This window comes from Homo sapiens, chromosome 13, assembly GCF_000001405.40.
Source record: "Homo sapiens chromosome 13, GRCh38.p14 Primary Assembly".
NCBI lineage: Eukaryota > Metazoa > Chordata > Mammalia > Primates > Hominidae > Homo > Homo sapiens.
In genome coordinates, this window is record NC_000013.11 from 76,523,436 (window position 1) to 76,547,419 (window position 23,984).

Below are 23,984 nucleotides of genomic sequence, written 5' to 3' on the forward strand. Positions count from 1 at the left end.
CCAAACTGCAGGTGGGGTCTTTCTCCATAGTTTATCTGTCTCTCTCTGCATGTAGATTTTATTCTCTGAAAGAGGCTTATGCCGCCCTGTTGGGGACATGACTGTCAACAGCTCTAAAATTACTTCATATCCACTTACTGACCTGCCCACCATGCTCACATTTGATATTACAAAATAAAATTCCAAGGAAGGATTTTGATTGGGTTGGGCCACACGATCAATCCCTAATAATTGCTAAACCATGACCAGTCCTTGACAATTGCTAAGCCAGAGAGTATGGGTCATCAAAAAATATTGGATCTTGTGAACCAGAGATGGAAAAAGAAACCAATTCTCCAATAGAAAGGATGGGATTAGCAAAGACATGGCCATTGGAAAAATCAGTGTAAGCTCTATAGCCAATTTAATTGGTGCCTAATAATGAAACATATTTCATAAGTTATGAGAATTAAATGTAGGAATGTGCTGTGTAAATAGTAAAATGAAATACAAAAGGCAAACCACTATCTCTTTCAATATGACTACTATTCCTGAATTTAAAAAAAAAAAGCTCAGAAAAATATTTCAAAGAAGAGAAGTTTTTTTGTTGTTGTTGTTCAAGAAGAAACAAAACTGCTTTTTCTACAATCCCTTGTGACTCGACAGCAAATTACCAGCTGTTAAAAGTCTGAAAATCAAGAACCTCCAGGAATGTGCTCCGGCCCACCAGGCAGGTGATTACTCAGCAGCAACTCTACTCCTAGACCAGACCACTGTCTTACTTGCAGTCCTCCCCAAAGTCTATTAATGGTGTGAAAGTAATACCAATGACATCACATGGTTAGACTCTTACTAACAAAATATTTGTATGTGTATGAGTTAGTATCCTTTGTTAATTAAATCTGTCTTTGAAAATAGTTTCCTAAGAATTCTAGGAAGAGACTGGGTTATTACCCTCCCATTTCCATGTAGCAATTTTCTCAAGGGTGCTGTGAAAGAGGAAATGTGCCAGTAAAAGTAATTTTCTAAACAATGCTCTGAGGACATCAAGGCAAGGGTGTACTTAACAAAACTGTGCCATGCCCTATAATGTAAAGCCAAAATTTTGGCCTATTTAAAGATAGTTTAATTTAAAAAAATAAAGAGCTATAGTCTTATGGAGTGCAGAAAAACACATTGAAATGTCCCTCTCTCCCCTTTGCCAACAAAAGAGCTCCAGCCTGATCGAACAATTATATTTGAAAACAGACTATTTTTTAAACTGGAGCTTTCATCTTAGTTTATCTAATGATGAAAAGTGGTATGCACAAGTAACCACAATTTGTATGCAGAAGATAAAGTCTTTTTGTAAATTACACCTATAAAATATTCTAGTTCCTTTTTTTTTCCTTTATCTTTTGGAGCAAATCAATTACCAAGACCAGACTTGCATTTAAGCAAATACAATTAGCATATATACAATTGACCTTGAACAACATGGGTTTAAACTGCTCTGGTCCATTTATTTATATGCATATTTTTCAATAAAAGCAAAGTAACTTAGGAACAGAAAACCAAATATCCTATGTCCTCACTTATAAGTGGGAGCTAGGCTATGATGACGCAAAGGCATAAGAATAATATAATGGAAATTGGGAACTTGTAGGGGAAGGTTGGGAGTCGGGGTATGGGATAAAAGTCTACATATTGGGTACAGTGTACACTGCTCAGGTGACAGGTGCGCTACAATCTCAGAGATCACCACTAAAGAACTTATCCATGTAACCAAAAACCTGTACCCCCAAAACTATTGAAAATTTTAAAAATGTTGGGCATGGTGGCTCACGCCTGTAATCCCGGCACTTTGGGAGGCCAAGCCGGGTGGATCACCTGAGGTCAGGAGTTCCAGAACAGCCTGAGCAACATGGTGAAACCCCATCTCTACTAAAAACACAAAAATTAGCTGGGTGTGGTGGCATATGCCTGTAATCCCAGCTACTTGGGAGGCTGAGGCAGGAGAATTGCTTGAACCCGGGAGGGGGTGGTTGCAGTGAGCCGAGATCGTGCCATTGTGCTCCAGCCATTGCGCTGCAGCCTGGGCAACAAGGGGAAACTATCTCAAAAATTTAAAAAAATATTTTTTTAATTAAAAATAATTACAGGGACTCTGCCTGCCTCTCCTGCTTTCCCTTCTACCTCCCCCATGTCTTTTGCTTCTACCATTCCTGAAACAAACAGCAAGATCAACCTCTCCTCTTCCTTCACGTACACAGCCTACTCAACTTGAAGACAGATAATGAAGATGAGGAGCTTTATGGTGATCCACATGATCCACTTCCACTGGATGAACAGTAAATATATGTTCTCTTCCTTATGATTTTTGTTAATAACATTTTCTTTTCTCTACATTATAAGAATACCATATACAGCACATATACAAAATATGTGTTAATTGTCTGTTTGTATTATCAGTAAGGCTTCTGATCGACAGTAGACCATTAGTGGTTAAGTTTTGGGGGAGTCAAAAATTAGCTGTGAATTTTTGACTGCATGACACCCCTGGGCCACTGTGTTGTTCAAGAGTCAACTGTGCCATTTATATGACAGTAGCAGAGACTCCCACCCTGGAGTGACTTGAAAGCAAAAGCCTTTGCCAGATTTAGGAGAAAAGTATCTATTTCACTTGTCCCTTAGGTTTAGTCTTTAGTTTTCAATGATTAATGGAATTTTTATAGAAAAGAAGAAGGAGAATATTATTTACAGTTGAGGAAATTCCATGTGTAATGGCACAGAAACTTGAGAAGGCGTATTAACACCAGGAATCCAGATGAAAATAGTAATTCTAAGAGTTCTTTATTGATAAAATGATGCCCAGGAATGACCCCTTAAGATGCCCAGCATGCCACAGCCCTCATCATGGGCTGTTCTGGGAGCAATGGTTGTAAACTGGCACCAAAGCAGAGCAATTAGTAACCCCTGGTGGAAATAGTGCCTGCTGAAGAACTAGCATAATTTGAGCCAACTTTTGCTTTCCTGTGAGGACTAGCAAAGTTCAAGACTGAACCTCATGTTCATTAAACTGGACAACTTGCTGCTGCCTATTGATAAATGTGCCATAACCTACATGGTCATTATCTTAGTCTATTTTCTGTTGCTTATGGCAGAACACCTAAAACACGGTAATTTATTAAGAAAGGAATTTGTTTTTTACAATGTGGAGGCTGAGAAGTCCAAGGTCAAGGGATCACACCTGGCAAGAGCTTTCTTGCTGGTGGGGGCTTTCTTGCTGGTGGGGACTTCCTGAAGTGTCCTGAGGCAGTGCAGGGTATCACATGGTGAGGAAGCTTAGCATGCTAACGAGCCCATTTCAGATCTCTCTTCTTATTAAGCTACCAGCTTCACTGTCTACATAATCTATTGGTCTATTAATCCATGCATGGGATTAATGCATTCATAAGGGCAGAACCCTCATGATTCAATTACCTCTTAAAGGCCCTACTTCTCAATACTGTCACATTGGGGATTACATTTTAACATGAATTTTGGAGGAGACAAACATTCAAACCATAGCACTCACAAAATCACATTCATCGGTATGAAGAAAGTTCTGAATTTCTAGCCAAAATTGTTTACAGTTGTATCTTTAAAGATTAAACTTAAAAGTTACTGGGTATTTTTTTTTTCCTTTTGTAGTTAGCACCATGAAACAGAAATGCTTGCTGAGTTAAAGGTACTGTATGTAACTTCATCCCATTAGTCATTTTAGCACCTTGCTCATCTGATGTTGGCATGGGATTCTGCTCTTCTTCCTCTTCCTCCTTCATCTGCTCCAGAATTTCAGCCAACAACCAAAGCACACTTTGGTTCTTGGCAACTCTAAGGCCCAGATGCTGAATAATTTTCAACAGTTAACTCATTACTAATTTTATTCTAATGTCAACACTTTTGAAGAAGTCTATGACAGTGAGACTTATTCATAGGATGTGATTGTCTCACTAAATTCAAATAGTTGCACCAGAAGAAACAATGTAAGGAATTTCCATCACCCTATTATGTATATATAGTAAAATTCCAACCCAGTCATTTTATTGCAAATAGGTGATTATTTCTGAAGCATGTGTGCCATGAGTACTCATATTATGCTTTCCTTCTTTGAGGAAATAAAATACTCTTTTTCTAGAACTAAAACTTCTTCAGAAGTACAACAGAAAGGCACTCATCTTTTGAGGTTAGTTTCCTCAATTGTTTATTTTCCTAACAGGGCTTATGATGCTACCTTGAATGATTAAAATGTTCTATACATCCATAATACCTTCACTTAAAGGACACTGAATTACAAGCAAATCATGTCCTGATAACAACCTCCAGAGGCAGAGTTGTATAAATAAATAATTACCACCTCTGAAAGCCAAGCTGAAGTAAAGAGAATTAGACTAGTGCTACACATTAAATTGGAGGACTCTTTTCATAATTATTGGAATTAAGATATTTTACCTAATAACCAGGATGACAAATATCCTGGTAACTGCTGGTAATTCAATGCAGCTTCTTTCCCTTTGGTTTCTGGATGCAGCCTCAGAACCCTCTGCAGCACAGCTCCCTGGGCACCTGGGCAGCCCTAGCAAGCTACTGAAGCTGGCGCAGTAACTAAAACCCATTTGCTATCCCTGCCCTGCAGTGTTCACCTCCAGAAAGAAGGATAATGCCAGTTCTTTCAGTTCTTCAGACAGTTGGCTGTGATCAAGCACTAGATGACATGTTTATTGATTAACTCTTATCCATAATGTTTATTTTTAATTGATTTGAGGGATCTGAAAACAGTTCAATTGTTGTAACTGTCAGATACAACATAAGTAATTTATGCCTCTGTGACTAAAATCAAAATAGGCTCAAGTACTCTCTTCTTCTGTTTTGACTTAAAACATTTAGTACCTTTGATGATTTCAATTGTGAGATTTAGGGGTCTCTTTCTAGTTACTCCTTTCTTTCTCTTTTATCATGGTCAACGTCCTTGAAATAATAGGGTGTTTTAAACAGGTCACTGGATGAATTCTACAAATACATGATTATGTATTTGGTTAGTTCCCTTAGTTGCATGGTACATCAGAGTAGACTCTGCCTCCCTCTTCCATGCTTAGCTCAGTTTAGTGAAATCAGTAGTTTTAATGATAGGGCTGTGAGTGAATAACTCCATACAGCTATCGCTTTAAAATCTTGGACTGCAGTATTATGAATCAGGACACAGTCTTATGGACCAGAGTACTTGGATCTGAATTGAGTCTTTGCTACTTAACAGCTGCATAAGGTTGGGCAAGTCACCTGACCTTTCTGTGTTAAATGGGGATAATAGCAATACTTATCTTGTGGGTTGTTCGGAGAATAACCTGTAATAATATGTATAACAGGCTTCAAAGTGCCTGGCACACAGAAAGCACTATATGAGGACTAGCTATCATTAGTCTGTACCTAGAAGCTGCCTAAGTACAACTATTTCGCTAGGAAAACACTGATCCTAAGGAAGAGCTGAACACAATAAGAACGTGAAAACTGAGTAGAATAAATCCACCCTACTTCCAAAACAATGAAATAACCTATTTAGTGATGGCGAGTTGAAACATTGCCATTGTTTGAAAAAAAATTGCACATCTATGTTCATATTTGATGAAGACTGAATTTGACATTAATATTTGGGAACATGTATCTTCACAGGAATTTATTGTAAACAATTTTAGCTTTTAAATCTGGTGGTAAAAAAGTTGATATTTTCCTCTTTTTAAAATGCATCATTTGGCATGTATGGAAATTATTATATATTAGCTTCACCTTTGTATATGTCCCAGTAGGTCATGGTTCTTTCAATGTAATATTCATCACATTTTTGTAAGTAAATTGTTTTCCATTTAACTTTTCAGTAAACTGAACAGTTACTGAAGTTTGTTACGGAAATTTGAGTCTGAATTTCTGATTTATGTAGCCAAGCCTCTTTTGAACACAAATTACTCTATAGTTCAAAGGAAATGCATTCTTTTAAAAAAAGAACAACATCAAGTCAGCAGGTGAAGTAATGCTATCTTTTTGAAATAAACATAACCTACAACTAAAAGAAGCATTAACATTATAATACCTGAATAAAGACATATATGCCATCCAGTCAACATTTATGAAAACTGGTTCACTACACAACTAGTTATAATTCTGTGGGAGAATTAGTGACCCTGTTTGATTTTCAAAATAGCCCTTGACCTAAATTCACTTTTTTAAACTACACGGTTTGAAAATGGGGCATTGTGAAGAAAAAGAGTTAGCATTAGAACTGCTCTCTGAAGGAAAAATGAACCACCAAAATAGTGGTATTTTTTCCATGTGAACCAATTCTTCAAAATCTAAGGTGTTTCTTGAATACCACATTTACCAGTTAAAATGAGCTCCATTTATTTTGAGAAATGTCAAACTTAAAACACACAAACATATTTTTTTTTTGTTCTGGCCGTCTAAGATATAAATGGATGGACAAATAGATAATTTAAAAACAAGCTATAATACTATAATATGGGGATTAAATTTAGTTTGCGTTATTTGAATTCTTCTAGACACAAAGTTTTTATGCACAATTAGAAATATTTACATTGTCCTAATTAACATGCAATTTGGCTTCATGAATCTTCTGAGAGACTACTGGGAGAAAATTACAAATCTGGGGTTTTAATTTCAAGATCCTTTTTAAGTAATAAGAAATTAATGTTCATTTATATTACCTTATTAAATCAGTCATCAATATGATTATCCCATAATTTCTCTGAATTAAAAATCTTTAAAAGCAGATGGTCTTTATCAGAAATAGAGGTAGTTTTTAGTTATACAATCTATTAGTTATGCAAAAATACATGTATTTCCATTGAACAGAAATATATTATATAAAAGCAAAAAATCTTAATTCCAGTGGGGCATTTTTTGATTTGTGGGCTTATACTTAATGGGTTAATTTAATTTGAGACTTTTCCAGTAACACATTAAAGGAAATTTGGGTTCACTCATTTGACAGCCACTATTAAGGTTATTGTTTTCAAGTTTGAGGTAGGAAAACAGTCTAGGAGGACAACCAATTATTTTCAAAATAAAAGTGCCTCATTAAGTAATTATAAGAAAAGAATTAAGTACAAAGTAGATTTTTACAAACATCTATGTAAAGAAAAACACCAAATACTTAGGGAATTCTGACAAACCAAAAAGTCAAATCACTGATAAACTGCTGTTAGAATTTTCATACTTAAAATTAAGTTTCAAAGGTTTTGTATTTATTCCAATTTGGGTAAAATAAGGTAATTCTTTCACTGCAGTCTTAAAGTGAATTAACTGACAAATTCCTGGTCATAGCCAAGTGTCTTTGTCCTTATTTTTCAAAACCTAGAGTTAATTGGGTGCCTTTTTCCCTGCAAACCTATCCTACACCAGAACATTTACGTGGAAGCCAGCTTCTTCCAATTTGACTTCCTCTTCGAGTCCTGTCAAATCACACTGTTGCTAAGATGCAACTATTTTTGTTATATCATGCTCAACAACTTGTCTTCTTTCCTACCTTGCCCAGTCTTTTTAGATTGTATTAAGTCAGACCATTAAACATTTAAAATATCAAAAGTTCTGCCCATGCTAGCTCACTACTCCTGACTTGGATTTATTGGGTCTTAATATAAATAATATCTGCAAAAACAATGCTACATTCTAAGAACTCAAAAAAATTCTCCAGGGTCCTCATCTCTTTCTCTTCAAAAGCCCCCTGTGCTAAATGACAATCTTTGTTTCTCTGCTTGCTTGATTCTCTATCCACCTGTACATCCTTCTGTCTCTACTCTCCCTCATTCCTGCTTCCATAGGTACCTCATATTACCAATTTCTGAGTTTAGGGGATAGAGGGAGAATGGGCAATGGAATTCAAATTGTTTCTTGACCTTCATCATAGTGAACTTGGAAGTCAGTTTTCTTGGTATTGCTGAATCAACGAATGCTTCTGAGGGGCTTTCCGGCTTCACATATTTCTGCTGTATTTTTCTCCTCTCCCATTGTGTAGGTTTTCTGGGGCTGCCTCAACAAGGTACTACAAAGAAGATGGCTTTTTTTTCTTTTTTTTTTTTTTTTTTTGTGAGACTGAGTTTCACTCTTGTTGCCCAGGCTGGAATGCAGAGGCGTGATCTTGGCTTACTGTAACCTCCACCTCCTGGGTTCAAGCGATTCTCCTGCCTCAGCCTCCCAAGTAGCTAGGATTACAGGTGCCCGTCACTATGCCTGGCTAATTTTTTGTATTTTTAGTAGACATGGGTTTTCACCATGTTGGCCAGGCTAGTGTTGAACTCCTGACCTCAGGTGATCCACCCACCTTGGCCTCCCCAAGTGCTGAGATTACAGGCATGAGCCACTGCATCTGGCCAAAGGTGGCTTAAATCACCATAAATTTATTCTCTCTCAGTTCTACAGGCCAGAACTCTGAGATCAAGTTGCTGGCAGGGCCAGGCTCCCATCAAAACCTCTAAGGGAGTGTCCCACCTTGCCTCTTCCAGCTTCTGGTAGCTCCAGGCTTTCCTCAGCTTGTGGATGCATCACTCCAATCTCTGCCTCTGTCTTCACAGGGTGTTCTCCCTGTGTGTTTATGTTTTCACATGGCTGTCTTCCCTCTATGTCTCTGTCTTCTCACAAGGAGACCAGTCAAATCAGATTAAAGGCTCACCCTATTATACAGTATCACCTCATCTTAACTGGTTACATCTTCCCTGACCCTATTTCTAAATTAGGTCACATCCTGAGGTCCTGGGATTTAAGACTTCAACATATCTTTTTGGAGGGATATGATTCAACCTGTAACACTCATCCTTATTTGTTTACGCTTTTTTAAAAAAGGAAACCAATTTTTTACTCCAGGTCAAGTTTAGTTTCAGGAGAAAGCAAGAGCCTTATATGACCCAGAAATTTTATATGACCTCTTGATGATTTGGTTGAATAATAACAGTGCTCTCGGGAACTCTGAGCTCATGATAAAATTTTTTTTTTTTTTTTTTTTGAGGCAGAGTCTCACGCTGTTGCCCTGGCTGGAGTGCAGTGGCATGAACTTGGCTCACTGCAACCTCTGCCTCCTGAGCTCAAGTGATCCTCCCACCTCACCCTCCCAAGTAGCTGGGACTATAGGCATGTACCACCACACCTGGCTAATTTTGCAATCTTTGTAGAGATGGGGTTTTGCCATGTTGCTCAGGCTTGTCTTGAACTCCTGAGCTCAAGCAATTCACCTGCCTCAACCTCCCAAATTGCTGGGATTACAGGTGTGAGCCACTATGCCCAGCCAAAACTTACCATTTTTTATGGAATTTAGGTCTCCTAAATTTCTGTTTCTGTTCTTCCCTACTTCTACTCATAGCATCAGCCCTCAAGACATTGCTAGGTATACCTAATTGTTATGGGCAATTAGATTCTGTTTAATTGATGTTGATCTGTGCTCATACAGCACTGAAATACCAATTAACATTACATAGAATGATAAAGTATTTTACAAATATATTTTATCACTACTTTTATCAAAACCAGTATTTATGATAACCATAATGTAGCACAGAGTTCTAGCTTTTACAGGAAAGATCTTTTTTGTAACAATGTAATAAAAATTTCACTCAGCAAATTACTGACTTAAATACTATTCTTATTATATGCTCCTCTCAGTCTAGTTATGAGGACTGTTCTTTAAGTGATATATAATAGAGTCATGGGACAGGTAATAAAGTTAAAGTGCTCACATTATGAAGAGGATTTCATATCAAAGATAGGTTATGGAAGATATATTTAAGCACATCATAAATATAAATGCTACTAATGATGGTACACCTCCTCAATGGCTTTATTCCAAAATGTATCCTCATATTAATCAAACACATTTTGTCATCTGGACACTGATTATTACTAAGGGACTAGTATTTCAAAATAAGATCCCACCATGGTCATTATTGCACATCGTATATAGAGGGCCCTTAAAGTGAATTTACTCAGGGAGGTAGGTTTATAGTTAGGCAACAGACTTACAGATGACTCATCACCTACTGCTTAGGTGGCATTTGGAAAGTTACTTTATATTTGTGAAGACTAAATACTTTAAACTAGAAAATCTAGAAGAAATGAATAAATTCCTGGACACGTACACCCTCCCACATCCACCATATACACCCTGAACCAGGAAGAAGTTGAATCTCTGAATAAACCAATAACAAGTTCTGAAACTGAGGCAGTAATAAATAGCCTACCAACCAAACAAAGTCTAGGACAAGACAGATTTACAGCTGAATTCTACTGGTGGTACAAAGAGGAGCTGGTACCATTTCTTCTGAAACTACTACAAACAATTGAAAAGGAGGGACTTCTTCCTAACTTTGTTTACGAGGCCAGCATTATCCTGTTACCAAAACCTGGCTGTGATAGAACAAAAAAAGAAAACTTTAGGCCAATATCCCTGATGAACATTGATACAAAAATCCTCAATAAGTTACTGGCAAACCAAATCCAGCAGCACATCAAAAAGCTTATCCACCATGATCAAGTTGGTTTTATCCCTGGGATGCAAGGCTGGTTCAACATATGTAAATCAGTAAACATAATTAATCACATAAACAGAACTAAAAACAAAAACCACATGATTATCTCAATAGACGTAGAAAAGGCCTTCAATAAAATTCAACATCCCTTCATGTTAAAAACTCTCAATAAACTAGGTATTGATGGAACATACCTCAAAATAATAAGAGCTATTTATGACAAACCCACAGCCAATATCATACTGAATGGACAAAAGCTGGAAGCATTCCCCTTGAAAACTGGGACAAGACAAGAATGCCCTCTCTCATCACTCCTGTTCAACACAGCATTGGATGTTCTGGCCACGGCAATCAGGCAAGAGAAAGAAATAAAGCGTATTCAAATAGGAAGAGAGGAAGTCAAACTGTCCTTGTTTGTAGATAACATGATCCTACATCTAGAAAACTCCATCATCTCACCCCAAAAACTTCTTAAGCTGATAAGCAGCTTCAGCAAAGACTCAGGACACAAAATCAGTGTGCAAAAATTACAACCATCCTATACACCAACAGTAGACACACAGCGAGACAAATCATGAATGAACTCCCATCACAATTGGTACAAAGAGAATAAAATACCTAGGAATACAGCTAACAAGGAACATGAAGGACCTCTTCAAGGAAAACTACAGACCACTTATCAAGGAAATCAAAAAGGACATAAACAAATGGAAAAACATTCTATGCTCATGGATAGGAAGAATCAATATTGTGAAAATGGCCATACTGTCCAAAGTAATTTATAGATATAATGCTATTTCCATTAAACTACCATTGATGTTCGTCACAGAATTAGAAAAAAACTACCTTAAAATTCATATGGAACCAAAAAAAGAGCCTGTATAGCCAAGACAACCCTAAGCAAAAAGAACAAAGCTGGCACCATCACACTACCTGACTTCAAACCATACTACAAGGCTACAGTAACAAAAACAGCATGGTACTGGTACAAAAACAGACACACAGGTCAATGGAACAGAATAGAGAACTCAGAAACAAGACCACACATCTACAACTATCTGATCTTCAACAAATCTGACAAAAACAAGCAATGGGGAAAGAATTCCCTGTTAATAAATGGTGCTGGGAAAACTGGCTAGCCATATGCAGAAAACTGAAACTGGACCCCTTCCTTACACCTTATACAAAAATCAACTCTAGATGGATTAAAGACTTAGATACAAAACTCAAAACTATAAAAACCCTAGAAGAAAATCTAGGCAATACCATTCAGGACATAGGCACAGGCAAAGATTTCATGACAAAAACGTCAAAAGCAATCACAACAAAAGCAAAAATTGACAAATGGGATCTAATTAAACTAAAGAGCTCCTGTACAGCAAAATAAACTATTATCAGCATGAAAAGACAACCTACAGAATGGGAGAAAATTTTTGTAATCTATCCATCTGACAAAGGTCTAATATCCGGAATCCACAAGGAATTTAAATTTACAAGAAAAACCAAATAACTTCATTAAAAAGTGGGCAAAGGACATGAACAGGCACTTCTCAAAAGAAGACATTTATACGGCCAATAAACATGAAAAAAAAGCTCAACATCACTGATCATTAGAGAAATGCAAATCAAAACCACAATGAGATACCATCTCACGCCAGTCAGAATGGTGATTATTAAAAAGTCAAGAAACAACAGATGCCAGTGAGGCTGTGGAGAAATAGGAACGCGTTTACACTGTTTGTGTGAATGTAAATTGGTTCAACCATTGTGGAAGACAGTGTGGCAATTCCTCTAAGAGGGAACCAGAAATACTATCTGACCCAGCAATCTCATTATTGGTTATATACCCAAAACTGGCTAGCACATTGCCTACATGAAGTAGATGTCCCTTAAGAGCTGTTATTTTATACAGCATTCAGCTAAGTGCAAGGCACAGTTCTAAGCACTGTTCTAAATATTTTACATTTATTTTCTTCTTTAACCTCTTTATCACATATGTTTACATTTAAAACAGTGACCAAACTGATCTACACTATATGTATCATTTTGGGAAATGTATAAACTTGTTCGATATATGTCAAGAAAGTAATATTAAATAGATTATTTAGTCTAACTACTCCTTGGAAATATTTTTACCAAAGTGTTCTGTATACACAGTCATCAGTCTTATTTTAAGGGATTTCAGAAAGGTGATTTTTTTTAAGTAATGTCCTATAGATTAATGGTTCCCCACCTTTAGCATGCATCAGAATCATCTGTAGGGCTGGTTAAAACACAAGTCCTCACCTGCCCCACCAGAGTTTTGGATTCAATCGGTCTGGACTGGGGCTTGAGAATTTTCATTTTCAATAATTTCTCACAACACATTTCCAGATGAAGGTGGACTAATAACAGCACTTTGAGAATCGTTGCTATAGGTCAGATTGGTGAGAGGCAAGAAATTCTTTCTTATTTCTAAATCCAAAATCTATCTCATTCATGGTCTAAATATATGCCTAACAAGAGATAATGCATTTGCATTACTCTTGCCTAGATGCTAATTTCTTTTGAAATATTGAAACTAAAACTGGTACGAGTATTGAGGAAAGCCTGAAACTCAGATGACAACTGTCATTCCGTAAGTATGGAACTTCTTGATGCAGATTCACTTATAAATAGCCCCATGGCAGGAATTTTGAACATCAGGGGAAGCAAGAAGCCCTTTGCAGTCAAGAGGAAACAACCCTGCTTTGTTCTGGACAGACAGTACACTCCTTCAAGAACACTATCCTAAAACATGAGAGTATTTATTTTTAACTGATATTGGCTTCTCCAGTTGGATCACCTCAGGTTCATCCTCTAACTTAAAGCCATACAAATCCCGTTATGTATCTACTTTTAAATATTGTTCTCCAGGTGCAGCCATAAAAAAGGATGAATTCATGTCCTTTGCAGGGACATGGATGAAGCTGGAAACCATCATTCTTAGCAAACTATCACAAGGACAGAAAACCAAACACTACACGTTCTCACTCATAGGTGGGAACTGACCAATGAGATCACTTGGACACAGGGCGGGGAACATCACACACCAGGGCCTGTTGGGGGGTGAGGGGCTGGCGGAAGGATAGCATTAGGAGAAATACCTAATGTAAATAACTAGTCGATGGGTGCAGCAAACCAACATGGCACATATATACCTATGTATCAAACCTGCACATTGTGCATGTGTACCCTAGAACTTAAAGTATAATAAAATAGTTCTCAATAACATATGGATGACTTTCTTGTAAAGAACAGGTTTTTCACTGGCGTCAAATTTCAAAGCCTTTTCAAAGGATTTCTGACTCCAAAGTTGACAGTAATGAGGTAAGAAGTGGGGCACAGAATTTGTATCTGCCAAGAAGTCAAGCATTCAGCTTAGTGCTGTTACTGGGAGGGGCAGCAGCCACACAACTGTATCTATGAAGCAAATGTTCTGTTCTGAAAAACTGTTATTTTTCAGAAGGTTGGAATAGGATGAAAATTCACAAGATTCTCCAAAGTGCAAAACACAAAAGTTTCTTTTCTTTATTGTCCATACATTCACAATGTTGCTGAATACTTTTTTCTCTGATGGCAGGCAGGTTTGGCAGGATGATTTAAACTTTCTAACTAAAGGGGGACTTCACTTTTGGACAAAAATGGAGCCTGGTCAAAGTGTAATCTTGGTCCAAAGCTCTTTTTTTTTTTTTTCTCAAGGGGTCTTCCATTCCTGCTTCCCTTCCAAGATAGTGTCTGGGTACAGGGAAATACATGAAATTCTCATGGAATTGGATAGTCAGAGGTTCTAATGCCATCTGTCGAATTAATGTATTGTCTCGTTTGCCTCTGGGCATCTGCTGAATTGGCCATGGCTGATATCAGCTGTGAATTTCTTCCTTAGCCTGGGCCAATCATATAAATGCCTCCAAGGACATCGCCCAATTCCTTACTATTGATCAGTCTTCCCCTTCCTCTCATGGACACTGCAGATTTCCTTACACATAGCCACAACTTTGCTCTGTGGGGGCACCCTAAAGCCATCAGCTTAATTTTATCCTTACTGGTTTTCTATAACCCCCACAGGCAACAGAGGAATTTGTGGAATCCTGACAGTTCACGTGGGAGCTGAGATTTGTGCAGGGACATTCTCTCAGGCCCTCTGTCTAAACACACCACAACACCGTCTCCTCCATCTGCAAGTGCTCTGTGTTGAATACTGTAGCAGGGACTCCCTGCATGGTAATCTCCTCCTTGAGTTCAGTAAGTCCTCCCCTGGAGCTCCTTTCTTCTCACTGCTCACACCCAAGGCAAGGCAGGGAGGACTCGGGCTAGAGAGGAGCCTGCTGCTCATCTGAGGGAGCAGGAAGAAAGGTCATTCCATTCTCCTGGACTCTGAGCCCTTCCTTGCCTTCTCCACACTCCTCACTTTCTTCAATTACAGGGACTCTGTTTTTAACCTGGGCATACGTTGAGTTCTTACTTCCTATGGCTTAAAATCTCAGTTTAGACCACAAGTTTTGTTCTTAATATGTTTAAAAAAACAAAAAAATGGTTTTAAATTTTAAGAAAAGTGGCCTTCTGACATAAAACTTTCAGAGCTATTACCTGTCTATGGGCTACAAGATTCTATTTTGACAGTCAAAGGTTGAAATCGACACTTACTTTTGTCTTATTATTATAATTCATATTCTTCTGAGATAATAAATACCTGTCATTGAAAAGAAAAAGGTCAAATTCAAGCAAGTATGAAACAGAAAAGCACGTGTGCACGTGTGCGAGCGCACACACACAGACACACACACACACAATTCTTTATTGAACTTACACTGCTTCAGGAATTTTAAATTAGAAAACAATAAGGATCAGGTAAACATTCTGGGTAAGAGCACCATCATCTAAAGACTGCCTTTAGCCCTTTAGAGTCAGATGTTTGATCATGTTAGTTCACCCAAAGGCATCCACAGCTAATACATTAGTTTCCACAGTTTAAACTCATAAAAAGCTAATTTTGAAACTATAAAGCTAATAATATAATTTGTAATGTGGTATGTATTTTCTTTGTTACCCAACAACTGCAATCTTATGAGGCAGACTATACAAAGACTGAAACTGTGCAAGCAGACATTTTTTTAATTCACTTGCAACAAAATCTGATATTTCTAACTTTTGATTTAGAATTACTTGAACATTGTAAATGTGTACACAATACATGACTAGCATTAAAATTCAAATAACACTGAGTAGTTATAACTATATAGTTATATCCTTAAATATTGTTGTCTATAGATCATGAGATTTAATTGGGTGTCAGACCTTTTCTATTTCATTCATACAAATTAAAATCACTATCAAGAAATCTGATACTCTATTATCTTATCTTTATTTTCTTTATTTGGTATTAAACACTTCATGCTGTGGATATTCATCACGATAATGTAGAGAGAAAAAATACCTTAAACTATGCATAATTTGTTAATTGTAAATCTGGACTAGAACTTAAGGTTTCTGATACCACTCTGATATTCTTCATTACCTTCACATTTTTAATTGAGTAAATTTGTTAAGAAAAGGAGAAAAGGCAAGTGTCTCTACTCATATTCCTTCTATTCAACATTGTACTAGAGATGCTATCCATTATAAGACAAGAAAACAAGGCACAAAAATTAGAGAGAAATAAAACAGTTTTTAGTAACAGACAACTTGATGCTCTAAATAGAAAATCCCAAATATGCTACAAAAAATATTAAGTAGGACTAACATGTGAGTTTAGCAAGATACAATAAAGGGTAACATGCAAAAATCAAATGTTTTCTATATAGTACAAATGCACAATTAAAAATTTTAAAACAACGCCATTTACAATAGGACAGTAAAACAAGAAATTCTTAGGTATAGTCTAGTAAAATAATTCTAAGATCCATATGCTGAAGGTATAAAAATTGATGGGAAAAATTAATACAAACTAAATGAATGGGAGTTATATCATGTTCATAGACTGAAATAATATTGCTAAGGTATTAATTCTCTGTAAGTTGATAAAGAGATTCAACGCAATTCCAATCAAAATCCTGATATTCTTTTTTGTACAAATTGAAAAACTGACCCTAAATTTATATGAGGAAAAATTTGGAAAGAAGAAAAAAGCTGTAGAACTTGTGGTACATGATTTTAAACTATTAAGCTATAATGGAAAAGATACTATTCATGTAAAATAGGAACAAGGAAGAAAGTCCGGAAATGGACCTATAGATAGATAGATAGATAGATATTGTCAACCAATTTTCAACAAACATGTCATAGTAGGTCACTGGAAGAAAGAATAGTCTTTTCAGCAAATGGTGCTTTTAGGTATGGACATCCACATACAAAAAAAAAAAGAAAGCTCACTTATATATTATACCATAAGCATAAAACAACTCAAAATGGATCACAGACTTAAATGTGAAATTATACATCTTTTGTGAGAAAACATAAGAGAAAAATTCTTATGACATTGGAATAGCAAAAACTTCTTAGAATCAAAAAAGCATGTGCCATTAAAAAAAAAAACTTGATAAATTGGACTTAATAATAAAATTTTATGCTTTTGAATAAATGATATTAAGAAAATTAAAAGATAAGCCACAGACTGGGAGAAAATATTTGCAAAACACATATCTGATAAAGAGCTTCTATCATATATATATATATATATATTTAAAAACTCTTACAACTCAATATTTTATTAAAGTCAACTCAATTATATATATGTACATACATATATTTAAATTTTATTGTAACTCACAATTCATAGTTGTCAATTATAATTTTTTAAAAGTTTAGAAAAATGGGCTAAGAAATTTAAATAAATACTTCAACAAAGTTGAAAGCAAAATGGCAAATAAGCATATGAAAATGTCAACGTATTTGTTATTAGGAAAATGCAAACCAAAACCACAGGGGCAAACTAGATCTCTAAAATCAACGATATCACTAAATACCTACTAGAACAGCAAAATTAAAAAACCAAAAAACTGGCAATAGCAAGTGCTGGCGAGGATGAGGAGCAATTAGAAATCTCATATTTTACTAATGAGCGTGCAAAATGGCATACCTACTTTGGAAAAGAGTGTGGGGCATTCTTATAGCATTAAATATATACACATGGCACAACCCAGCAGTTTCACTCCTAAGTATTTATTCAAGATAAACAAAAATGTATGTCCACACGAATTTCTGTACATGGAAGTTTACAGCAGCTTTATTCATGGTTTCCAAAAATTGGAAAAAGCTTAAATGCCCAAGAATCAGTGAATATATAAATTGTGGTATATGATACAATGGAACACTACTTTGCAATACAAACTACTTAATACCTGCAACAAATAAATTAGGCTTAAAGGCATTAAGCTAAGTGCAAGAACTCAGACACAAAGGGCTGCATACTTTTGTGATCCATTTATATGTCATTCTGCAAAAGGCAAAACTGAGGATACAGAAATCAGTTGCTAGAGGTGAAAGGAGGAAGTGGAGGGTGTCAGCCAGAAAGGGGCACTAGAAACTTTGCGGGGTGATGAAAATAATCTATATCATGGTTGTCATGGTGGTTACACAAATTGTATTCATTTGCTGAAAAATAACAAACTTCACACCTAAAAAAAGGATAAATTTTACTATAACCCAAGTATACATCAATAAAACCAACTGAAAAACCATTAAAGTAACTACATGTTTTTACACTAGGCATTGTCACTTAATCATTTGAAGATGGTGTATAATACCTGAGGAGTTAGGTACATGTGAACCAAGAAATAGGTAACATGGATTCAAGATTTCACCTTCTTCTCACTAATCCACCTCTTACCAGGTGGCATTCCAGATTTCCACTTGCTGTCCCTGGAGAAAATTAATGGCATCTACCTAACTCCTTTCTAACTCAGTAACAAGCATTAACAGCATCAGTCACTTCGAGTACTCATTTCTCTCAGGAGAAAATACAGCAACCCCACAGCAGCCAAAGAGCAGCATGAATCTGAGATAATGATGAGAGAGGAAAAAACAGAAATGAGGAATGATCGAAAGTAAAATAAAAGCCGAAAACAAAGGAGTAGGGCTAACAATGTGGCACTTTAAATGTAAGGCTACAGATCATGTTTCTTTTCCCAGATTATCCCTGTATCTTCTTTTCCTGTCGTAGATTCAGATGTGATTTGCAGCTCATTATTTTCAGGTGACGGAAATAGGGTCATGGTTTTTGAGAAAAGTTAATAAGAAAGCATTAAAAAGTCTGTAAATACAGAGGTTGCAAACGTTTTATGGTCACCTCACAATCAATAGGCATGTGTTTCTTTACTCCCTGAACACTACTATGAACATTCTGCAAGTTCATAGCATAACAAAGCAGAATAGAATATGGACCTGGATGCTTGATTCACAACAAATGAAATGCAGGAAATATGACTAAGAATTAAATGTAGTTCTCATGCTTATTACGTTAAAGAAACACGCCTTTATTTAGTCGTTCTACTTTATATAAATATACTTCACAGGAGATCCATTTTCTACCTACCTATGAAAAAATAACAATGAATAGACTCTGACATCCATGGAAAGTATGAGGCAAATATGGTGCCCCAAGCATGAAAAATATGAACTTTGGTAAATCCAGTTCTCCCATTATATTAAATGTGCATAAAAATAAAGATGGCCTCTCTTATAGACAGGGTAGATGTGTATTCAATAGGCAAGTTTGGGGACTCTAGAAATACATTGTTGCCACCTCATTTTGTTTTCCTGCTGACAAAACATCATCTTTAAAGGTCCATGCAGGGACATTATGCCCAGCTTATTAAGTGCCATAATGAACAACTCTAAAGGCAGTTTTTATATTGATTGCTATTGTAGATTGTATATTTATTATGACAATTTCCTGGCAGGTGATGGCACACTGTCTGAAAGTCAGAACAGAGAGGCTTTTTCTAATGGGTAACAAAGGGACATTTAATCTAGTGAGCAGTGGCCTGGCTTTGATAGCTTTGTAAGCTCATTAAAATGCAAAATATCGAGATGTGACTTCCAGAATGGCAATGTGAGGATCCCCATGGCCCTTTCTCCAGGGAACGACCATGATTGGTAAAAACTGTAAAAGTACATTAATTAAATAAAACATGAAAACTCTCTGAAAATTGTTGAGGGCATTCAGCAAATGGAGAAACAATTATTTAAGAAAACCTACTCAATTTTGGTAAGAACAGTAAGAGTCTGTCGTAGTTGAGCCGTGACCTAATCCCCACCCCACTCCATATCACCATGATGGAAACTCAACTCTTAGAAGGTGCAGCCAAGAACACAGAGTTCCCTCCCTCCACTCTATCCCTTGCTCCCTACCTGTGAAAAATAGCTCTAAATAAACTCTGACATTCAAGGACAGTATGAGGAAAATACAGTGCCTCAAGCATGGTAAATTATGCGCTTAACTATGGTAAATCCAGTTCTCCCATTATATTAAAAGTGCATAATAAATATGGCCTTTGTTGGTTCTTTAGTGCTCCCAGGATAGGATTACAGTTTCTTCATGGGAAGGACAGTAAACCAGCATTTTTTGTACCTCCAGCTCCATGTTGCAGAAGCTCTATTTCAGGCAAACCATTTGAGAGGTCTGGAACTCCATTCCTACACCCATCCTCATTTCAATGGCAGAAGCTCTATCCAGGCATGACAGACCAAGAATACTGAACCCCAATCACCCTCTCTCCTGTTAACTCATAAAGTAGAGGCTTTCTACTGGGTGAACCAAGCTGGGAAGAACAGAGGATATCACCCCTGCCCAGAACCCCACTCATACAATAAGAGTGTCATGGAGTCACTCCAAGAGAAGTGTGCTACTGTCCCTAAAGCAAGCTCCAGAATAGTGAAACCATTTTTTTCTAAAGAAAGAGGCAACCTGTAAGAACAGAGACCTCTGCAGTTCTCCCCGAGGGCACTGATTTTGTTTAGAACAGAGTGTGGGGAAGTTCAAATGAAAGGATGCTGTCTAAAACAAAGGAGATTTTGCTGGTGAGCAATTAAGAGGAAGGTGGTAGCTTTATCAGAGCAACCAACAGGCTAAACTGTAGAACAGCTTGTGATTCAACTGAGAGAATCAGGGAAAGAAACAGCTAAGAATAGACCTCTGGGGTCATAACAGGCCTCAAACACTAGCCTCAAAATCTAATCCTGCAGAGAATCCCATATTTAATTAGATCAGACTGTGCAGCAATATATGTCCCAATGCATTATCAAAAATAATAGAGCAATCAGCAGGTATTACTTGAGGCTAAGAGCTGAGTGTGATAACAAGAGAGGTAGACAATAGAGAGATGAAGAAAAGAGAAAGATGAAGAGTGCTTTTCTAAAACTGTTGTCATTCTATGGTGACTGTTAATATGCCCAAGGCTGTGCCCAATGTGGAGTTAACACAAGGAGACTATACGTTGCTATGGAAGTAGACTTCATTAAAATAGTACAACCATGTCACTAAAGAAATAAGCATGCAATAAAAAAAACCCTGTAGGTACATGGGTGATGAGATTATGATTCAGAGTTGCTACAATGTATTATCTAAAATGTCCAGATTTAACAAAATTACAAGAAATGAAAAGCAAATGTGATCCATCCATAGGGAAAAAGAGTAGGCAATAGAAATTCCCTCTGAGAGCCTAGATGTTAGGTTTAGCAGGCAAATACTTCAAATTTGTTATAAATATAAATGAAGAAAATGATGTTTAAAGAGGTAAAGAAAGATATGGTGGCAGTGTCATCAAATAGAGAATAGTAATACATAAATTAATAAAAAGAACTGAGTAAAAATCTGGAAGTTAAAAGCTACAAGAAACAAAATGAAAAATTCACTAGAGGGGATCAACAGATCTGAAGTGCCAGAAAAAAAAATCAGTAAATTATAAGATGCATTGATGGAGATCATGAAATCTGAAGATTGACTCTTTTCAGTTACTCAAATCAGTAATGAATAAAAAGAATGTAGGTAATGAAATTTAATGACAAAATATGTTCATGGATCATGCCTATAATCCCAGCACTTTGGGAGGCAGGAGGATTTCTTTTTTTTTTTTTTTTTTTTTTTTTAATGTTTTTTTTTTTAATTATACTTTAAGTTTTAGGGTACATGTGCACATTGTGCAGGTTAGTTACATATGTATACATGTGCCATGCTGGTGCGCTGCACCCACTAACGTGTCATCTAGCATTAGGTATATCTCCCAATGCTATCCCTCCCCTCTCCCCCGACCCCACCACAGTCCCCAGAGTGTGATATTCCCCTTCCTGTGTCCATGTGATCTCATTGTTCAATTCCCACCTATGAGTGAGAATATGCGGTGTTTGGTTTTTTGTTCTTGTGATAGTTTACTGAGAATGATGGTTTCCAATTTCATCCATGTCCCTACAAAGGACATGAACTCATCATTTTTTATGGCTGCATAGTATTCCATGGTGTATATGTGCCACATTTTCTTAATCCAGTCTATCATTGTTGGACATTTGGGTTGGTTCCAAGTCTTTGCTATTGTGAATAATGCCGCAATAAACATACGTGTGCATGTGTCTTTATAGCAGCATGATTTATAGTCATTTGGGTATATACCCAGTAATGGGATGGCTGGGTCAAATGGTATTTCTAGTTCTAGATCCCTGAGGAATCGCCACACTGACTTCCACAATGGTTGAACTAGTTTACAGTCCCACCAACAGTGTAAAAGTGTTCCTATTTCTCCACATCCTCTCCAGCACCTGTTGTTTCCTGACTTTTTAATGATTGCCATTCTAACTGGTGTGAGATGATATCTCATAGTGGTTTTGATTTGCATTTCTCTGATGGCCAGTGATGATGAGCATTTTTTCATGTGTTTTTTGGCTGCATAAATGTCTTCTTTTGAGAAGTGTCTGTTCATATCCTTCACCCACTTTTTGAAGGGGTTGTTTGTTTTTTTCTTGTAAATTTGTTTGAGTTCATTGTAGATTCTGGATATTAGCCCTTTGTCAGATGAGTAGGTTGCGAAAATTTTCTCCCATGTTGTAGGTTGCCTGTTCACTCTGATGGTAGTTTCTTTTGCTGTGCAGAAGCTCTTTAGTTTAATTAGATCCCATTTGCCAATTTTGGCTTTTGTTGCCATTGCTTTTGGTGTTTTGGACATGAAGTCCTTGCCCACGCCTATGTCCTGAATGGTAATGCCTAGGTTTTCTTCTAGGGTTTTTATGGTTTTAGGTCTAACGTTTAAATCTTTAATCCATCTTGAATTGATTTTTGTATAAGGTGTAAGGAAGGGATCCAGTTTCAGCTTTCTACATATGGCTAGCCAGTTTTCCCAGCACCATTTATTAAATAGGCAATCCTTTCCCCATTGCTTGTTTTTCTCAGGTTTGTCAAAGATCAGATAGTTGTAGATATGTGGCATTATTTCTGAGGGCTCTGTTCTGTTCCATTGATCTATATCTCTGTTTTGGTACCAGTACCATGCTGTTTTGGTTACTGTAGCCTTGTAGTATAGTTTGAAGTCAGGTAGTGTGATGCCTCCAGCTTTGTTCTTTTGGCTTAGGATTGACTTGGCAATGCGGGCTCTTTTTTGGTTCCATATGAACTTTAACGTAGTTTTTTCCAATTCTGTGAAGAAAGTCATTGGTAGCTTGATGGGGATGGCATTGAATCTGTAAATTACCTTGGGCAGTATGGCCATTTTCACGATGTTGATTCTTCCTACCCATGAGCATGGAATGTTCTTCCATTTGTTTGTGTCCTCTTTTATTTCCTTGAGCAGTGGTTTGTAGTTCTCCTTGAAGAGGTCCTTCACATCCCTTGTAAGTTGGATTCCTAGGTATTTTATTCTCTTTGAAGCAATTGTGAATGGGAGTTCACTCATGATTTGGCTCTCTGTTTGTCTGTTGTTGGTGTATAAGAATGCTTGTGATTTTTGTACATTGATTTTGTATCCTGAGACTTTGCTGAAGTTGCTTATCAGCTTAAGGAGATTTTGGGCTGAGACGATGGGGTTTTCTAGATAAACAGTCATGTCGTCTGCAAACAGGGACAATTTGACTTCCTCTTTTCCTAATTGAATACCCTTTATTTCCTTCTCCTGCCTGATTGCCCCGGCCAGAACTTCCAACACTATGTTGAATAGGAGTGGTGAGAGAGGGCATCCCTGTCTTGTGCCAGTTTTCAAAGGGAATGCTTCCAGTTTTTGCCCATTCAGTATGATATTGGCTGTGGGTTTGTCATAGATAGCTCTTATTATTTTGAAATACGTCCCATCAATACCTAATTTATTGAGAGTTTTTAGCATGAAGGGTTGTTGAATTTTGTCAAAGGCTTTTTCTGCATCTATTGAGATAATCATGTGGTTTTTGTCTTTGGCTCTGTTTATATGCTGGATTACATTTATTGATTTGCGTATATTGAACCAGCCTTGCATCCCAGGGATGAAG

At 36.8% G+C, this 23,984-nt stretch overlaps 1 long non-coding RNA gene across 1 annotated transcript in view; it reads left to right on the plus strand.

The window, feature by feature from the left end:
* The window catches only part of LOC105370263 (uncharacterized), a 65,817-nt gene extending 63,548 nt beyond the window's left edge, over positions 1–2,269 (plus strand). The window contains exon 3 of the long non-coding RNA XR_001749919.1: positions 2,232–2,269. This is a non-coding gene — a long non-coding RNA (uncharacterized LOC105370263). The remainder of the gene's footprint in view (positions 1–2,231) is intronic.
* Positions 2,270–23,984: the final 21,715 nt, after the last annotated feature.